This window comes from Homo sapiens, chromosome 2, assembly GCF_000001405.40.
Source record: "Homo sapiens chromosome 2, GRCh38.p14 Primary Assembly".
NCBI classification, from domain to species: domain Eukaryota; kingdom Metazoa; phylum Chordata; class Mammalia; order Primates; family Hominidae; genus Homo; species Homo sapiens.
The window spans coordinates 157025532-157032374 of record NC_000002.12 but is presented as its reverse complement, the minus strand read 5'-3'; the positions used below and the strand labels follow the sequence as shown (position 1 = coordinate 157032374).

The 6843-nt window shown below is 36.4% G+C and overlaps 1 long non-coding RNA gene across 2 annotated transcripts in view; it reads left to right on the top strand.

Moving 5' to 3' along the window:
• The window catches only part of LOC105373710 (uncharacterized), an 87864-nt gene that overhangs the window by 23883 nt on the left and 57138 nt on the right, over positions 1–6843 (top strand). The window lies entirely within an intron of this gene.

Here is a 6843-nt window from a genome sequence, read left to right as displayed (position 1 = left end):
CAGAGTGATTTTTCAAAAGAGAAAAAATCTTGAATACACTCATAGAAACTTTGAGTCATCAGACATTTTTTACTGTGACTGCCTACTTAATCCAGGAAGAAAGTGAACATTCATGAGTCAGAGCCCTTAGCTTTGACGAGTTCACTTAAAAATGACAATGGAATATTGTAGAAGAGGAATTTGCACCAAATAATCTGGAAAATATTTGCAATAAATGAGCACTGGGTCAGTCCTATTCACCCTCCCTGTGGATGTGCAAGAAACAGGGTTGTCTCAGGAAATGTGATGAAATGAGCCCACTATTGCAGGAAACTGCAAAGCCTCTCAAAGTCCCTGAAGAGAGGGCTTGACATGATCAATGGTAGGACAATTTAGACTCAATATAATAGTGGTTCCTCAGTGAGATGATGCGCTTCTACATAAAGGAAATGGGTAGATTATTTATGAAAGTTGTTTGTATTTAACCTTTGATTGTAAAGAAAGGTAGAATTAGTTACAGAATTTACATATTAATTTAATGCTACAAATATTTATTTATAATAAAAAAAGTCCTACCATCATCGAATTATAGTCTAAAAGAAGAAACAGACATTAATTAAATATTCACACAAAATAACTGAGCGACGTGCTCTTAGGAAAAAGAAGACGATACTACAAAAATGACTACAAAAAGGAATCGTATCTAGACTTGAGGTTGGGTGGGCTTCTGTGAGGAAGTGGCTAAAGTATTAGTGAGAGATACTAAGTGAATATGTGTGCATAGGCCTCTTTCCATAAAACTGAGAGATGGTTCAAATAGAAAACAATAAGATGGTAAACATAAACTCCAACAGATTAATAATTATACTAAACATAACTAGGCTAAGTAATAAAAAGATAGACTATATAGTATAATTATATACTCCTTGTGTGTGTATGTATATATATATATATACTATATATAATCTATATGGTATAATTATATACTCCTATATAGTGTAAGTATATGCTTGCAATCGACACACCTTTAATATAAGGACACAAGGAGGTTAAAAATAACGGTAGACTTAAAGATAGCATTATTAGAAATAAATAGGAAATTTTAAAGTGATAAAAGGCCAATCATCTAGTAAGGTCAAACAAGTTTAAATTTCTGTATTCCTAATAAACTTGAAAAAGGGGAAAAGTAATCGAATTAATAGGAGAAATAGACAAATCCAAATTCATAGAGAAAAATTTTACATTTCTCCTAATAACAGAACAAGAAAAAATATTTAGTAGAGATTTAGGAAATCCAAACATCTTTAACACATATAACCTAATTGTATAAATATAACTCTACACCCAATAATAACAGAATATACATTTTTTTCCCTTTTTGAGATGGAGTCTCGCTCTGTCGCCCAGGCTGGAGGGCAATGGTGTGATCTCAGCTCACTGCAACTTCTGCCTCCAGGGTTCAGCAATTCTTCTGTCTCAGCCTCCTGAGTAGCTGGGAATACTGCCACAATGCCTGGCTGATTTTTGTATTTTTAGTAGAGAAGAGGTTTCACCATGCTGGCTAGGCTGGTCTTGAACTCCTGACCTCAAATGATCCTCCCGCCTTGGCCTCCCAAAATGCTGGGATTACAGGCGTGAGTCACTGCACCTGCCCAACAGAATATTCGTTTATTTCAAAAGCACAGAAAATATTTACTACAATTGACCATATACTGAAACATGAGGCAAGATTTCAATAAATTGCTAGAAAACGAGAGGCTGATTTTTATGCAAAGCAGAATTCCATATAATTCTTCACTGATGGAATTTACTATCTAGAGTATAAATGAAGATTGTAAAAGAGATTTTCTATGTGTGAGTAATAATCTGAGAACTCTTTACAACATGAAATACCCAGCATATAAACGAGCTTACCGTTTTTGGGTTTGTGAGCCACTGTTGTCCTGAAAAATGTAAGTTAGTCATATATGCCTTCTGACTATGTGAATAGTGAGATACAAAAGCTGAGTGATCCGAAAACTAAACAGGCCCAATTAACTCATTGATCACATTAAGTTAGTGCTTGTCATTTAGAATCTAAACAATATCCTGATTTGGAAAAGTTGTTTCAGGGAGCTGTATTTAATGGATTGGGGTCTCCTAGCTATTGATGTGGCATTTGCTGTGACTCTATCTTGTATTCTTTGCTAATTACTTGTAAAGCTTGGTGCTGGGTGAGACGCAAGTTTTGAGTAAGTCTGATAATTTGGGCATTTGTGAGAAAGCAAAAATTAAACTGAATTCAACACAATAAGAAGTCAATACAGCTTTAAATAACGCTTGGATAAAATCAGAAATTTTAATAGAATTTATATATGTTAAATTCAGTGATAAAAATATGACATATTAAAACGTGGAATACTGTTTAGAGAAACAGTAATAACATTAAATCATACATTAGACAAGAGGGGAGGAAGTCAAAGTTCAATGCTCTAAATGTGCATCTCAAGAAGAGAAAAAAATCAGCAAATAAAGCCTTGTAAAAGTAGACAAGAGGCAAATAAAGCCTTTAAAAAGTAGATAAGTGTAGAAGTTAAAAAATTAGAAATCAGGCTGGGCGGCGTGGTGGCTCACACCTGTAATCCCAGCACGTTTGGAGGCCAAGGTGGGTGGATCACGAGGTCAGGAGTTTGAGACCAGCCTGGCCAACATAGTGAAACCCCCTCTCTATTAAAAATACAAAAAATTAGCTGGACATGGTGGCAGGAGCCTGTAATCTCAGCTACTTGGGAGGTTGAGGCAGGAGAATCGCTTGAACCCAGAGGCGGAGGTTGCAGTGAGCCAAGATCGCACCATTGCACTCCAGCCTGGGTGACAGTGTGAGACTCCATCTCAAAATAAATAAATAAGAAATCAAAGACATAATAGAGAAAAACAACAAAGCCAAAACTTGGCATTATGGATTGAATTGTGCCATGCAAAATTATATGTTTAAATCTGAAATTCTGACATCTCAGAATGTGTTTATTTGAAAACAGGGTTGTTGCAGCTGCAGTTAGTTATCTTAGTCCAGTTGTGCTGTTATAACAGAATACCACAGACTGGGTAATTTACAAAGAAGAGGAATTTGTTTCATACAGTTCTGGAGGCTAGGTAAGTGCCGGCAGGTTCGGTGGTCTGGTAAGGACTGCTCTGCTGTGCTCACATGGTAGAAGAATGGAAAAGCAGGCTAGTCAGCTAGCCTAAAGCTGTGTGAAACCTCTCTTTTGAGGACCTTAATCCCACGGATGAGGAAAGAGATCTTACGACTTACCCATGTCTTAAAGGCCTCACTTCCTAATACTACAGGTTGAATATCCATTATCCAAAATGCTTAGGACCAAAAGTGTTTTCGATGTCAGATTTTTTTCAGATTTTGGAATACTTGCATATTCATGATGAGATACCTTGGGAATGGTACCCGAGTCTAAACATGAAATTCATTTTTGCTTCATATACACCTTGTACACATAACCAGAAGGTAATTTTATACAATATATTTAATAATTTTGTGCACGGAACAAAATTTGACTGAATTTTTGACTGTGAACCATTGCATGGGTTCAGATGTGGAACTTTTTACCTGGAAGTTTTAGAATTTGGAGCATTTTTTTATTATTATTATACTTTAAGTTCTGGGATACATGTGCAGAATGTGCAGGTTTGTTACATAGGTATACATGTGCCATTGTGGTTCGCTGCACCCATCGACCCGTCATCTACATTAGATATTTCTCCCGATGCTATCCCTCCCCCACCCACCCCCTGACAGGCCCTGATGTGTGATGTTCCCCTCCCTGTGTCCACGTGTTCTCATTGTTCAACTCCCACTTATGAGAGAGAACATGTGGTGTTTGGATTTCTGTTCCTATGTTAGTTTGCTGAGAATGATGGCTTCCAGCCTCATCCATGTCCCGGCAAAGGACATGAACTCATTCTTTTTATGGCTGCACAGTATTCTATGGTGTATATGTGCCACATTTTCTTTATTCAGACTATCATTTATGGGCATTTGGGTTGTTTCAAAGTCTTTGCTATTGTAAATAGTGCTGCAATAAACATACATGTGCATGCATCTTTATAGTAGCATGATTTATAATCCTTTGGGTATATACGCAGTAATGGGATTGCTGGGTCAAATGGTATTTTTGGAGCATTTTACATTTTGTATTTTTGAACTTTGGATGCTCAACCTATATCACATTGGCAGTACTTGAATTTGGGAAGGAATTGACTTTCCTTTTTTCTCTTCCAACTTTTATTTTAAATTCAGGGGATACATATGCAGGTTTGTTACCTGATATATTCCATGATACTGAGGTTTGGAGTACAGATGATCCTGTCACCCATGTACTGAGCATAGTACCCAACAGTTGTTTTGTTGTTGTTGTTGTTGTTTGTTTTTTTATGGTTTTTTTTTTTTTTTTTTTTTGAGACAGAGTTTCACTCTTGTCACCCAGGCTGGAGTGCAATGGCACGATCTTGGCTCACTGCAACCTCTCCTGCCTCAGGCTCCTGAGTAGCTGGGATTACAGGTGCCTGCCACCACACCCAGCTAATTTTTGTATTTTTTTTTGTTTTAGTTGATATGGGGGTTTCACCATGTTGGCCAGGTTGGTCTCGAACTCCAAACCTCAGGTGATCCACCTGCCTCGGCCTCCCAAAGTGCTGAGATTACAGACATGAGCCACCACGCCTGGCCAGTACCCAACAGTTTTTTAAACTTTGTCCCCCTCCCTACTTCCTCCCTCTACTAGTCCCTAGTGTCTGCTGTTGTCATCTTTATGTCCATGACTATCCAGTGTTTGTTTAGCTCCCACTTACAAGTGAGAACATGCAGTATTTGGTTTTCAGTTTATGCATTAATTTGCTTAGGATAATGGCCTGTACCTGCATCTGGGTTGGGGCAAAGAATACGATTTCATTCTTTTTTATTGCTGCATAGTATCCCATGGTGCATATTTATCACACTTTCTTTATCCAGTCCACTACTGATGGGCATCTTAAGTTAATTCCATTTCTTTGCTATTGTGAATATTGTGAATAGTGCTGCAATGAACATATGCATGTATGTATCTTTTATAATAGAATGATTTATATTCCTTTGGGTATATATCCAGTAATGGGATTGCTGGGTTGAGTGGTAATTCTGTTTTGAGTTATTTGAGAAGTTTCCACACTGCTTTCCACAGTGATTGAATCCATTTATATTCCGACCCACAGTGTACTGACGTTCCCTTTTCTCCACAGCCTCATCAACATCTGTTGTTTTTTGACTGTTGTAACAGGCATTCTGACCAGTGTGAGATGGCCTCTTATTGTGGTTTTAATTTGCATTTCTCTGATGATTAGTGAAGATTTTCAATTTTTTTATTTTTAATTTTTGTGAGTACATAATAGTTGTATATACTTATCAGCTACATGAGAAATTGTGATACAGGCATACAATGTGTAATAATCACATCAGGGTAAATGAGGCACTCATTACCTCAAGCATTTATCTTTTGTGTTACAAACAATATAATTACACTCTTTTGGTTGTTTTTAAATGTGCTGAGATTACAGACATGTAATCGTTTAAATAACGATTAAATTATTACTGACTGTAGTCATCCCATTGTGCTATCATATACTATATCTTATTCATTCTTTCTATTTTTTTGTACCCATTAACCATCTACACTTCCCACCCACCCCCCTACTACCCTTCCCAGACTCTGGTAACTATCATTCTTCTCTCTCCATGAGTTCAATTGTTTTAATTTTTAGCTCCTACAAATAAGTGAGAACAGGCAAAGTTTATCTTTCTGTGCCTGGCTTATTTCACTTAATGGCCTCTAGTTCTATCCATGCTGTTGCAAATGATAGGATCTCATTCATTTTTATGGCTGAATAGTACTCCATTGTGCATATGTATCATGTTTTCTTTATCCATTCATCTGTTGATGACACTTAAGTTGCTTCCAAATCTTGGCTATTGCGAATAGTACTGCAATAAACATGGAAGTGAAGCTATCTCTTAAATACACTAATTCCTTTCTTTTGGGTATATACCTAGGAGTGGGATTGCTGGATCATATGGTAGCTCTATTTTTAGTTTTTTGAGGAACATCCAAACTGTTCTCCGTAGTGGTTGTACTAATTTACATTCCCATCACCAGTGTGCATGTATTCCTTTTTCTCCACATCCTCGCCAACATTTGTTATGGCCCGTCTTTTGGATAAGATTCATTTTAATTGGGGTGAGGAGATGATATCTCATTGTAGTTTTGATTTGCCCTTCTCTGATGATCAGTGACGTTGAGCACCTCTTCATATATCTGTTTGTCGTGGTCTTCTTTTGAGAAATATCTACTCAGGTATTTTGCCCATTTTAAAATCACATTATTTATTAGATTATTTTCCCATAGAGTTGTTCAAGCTCCTTATATATTCTAGTTATTAATCTCTTGTCATATGGGTACTTTCCATTATGGGTAGTTTGTGTATATTAAAACAAATCCTCCAGATATTAAAAACACCACAGAATATAATACACAATTTCATGCAAATAAATGAAATGGAAAAACTAAAGAATGATGATTAAACATAGGATAGTTGTTCTGATAGTTCTGGGTGACCGTGACAGGTCAGTGGCATGCTTTAGTGGTACTAGTAATACTCAATTGTATTTTAATCTGAGTGCTATCTATATAGGTGTGGTTATCTGTTGAAAATCTCTCAGGCTGAACATTCATATTTTTGTACAAATTTATATTTTAATAAAAAGATTTACTTGAAAATGAAAAATATAAGCCATTCAAACACATTAGTTTTCTTCATTGTTTAATTACTGGACTCTCATTG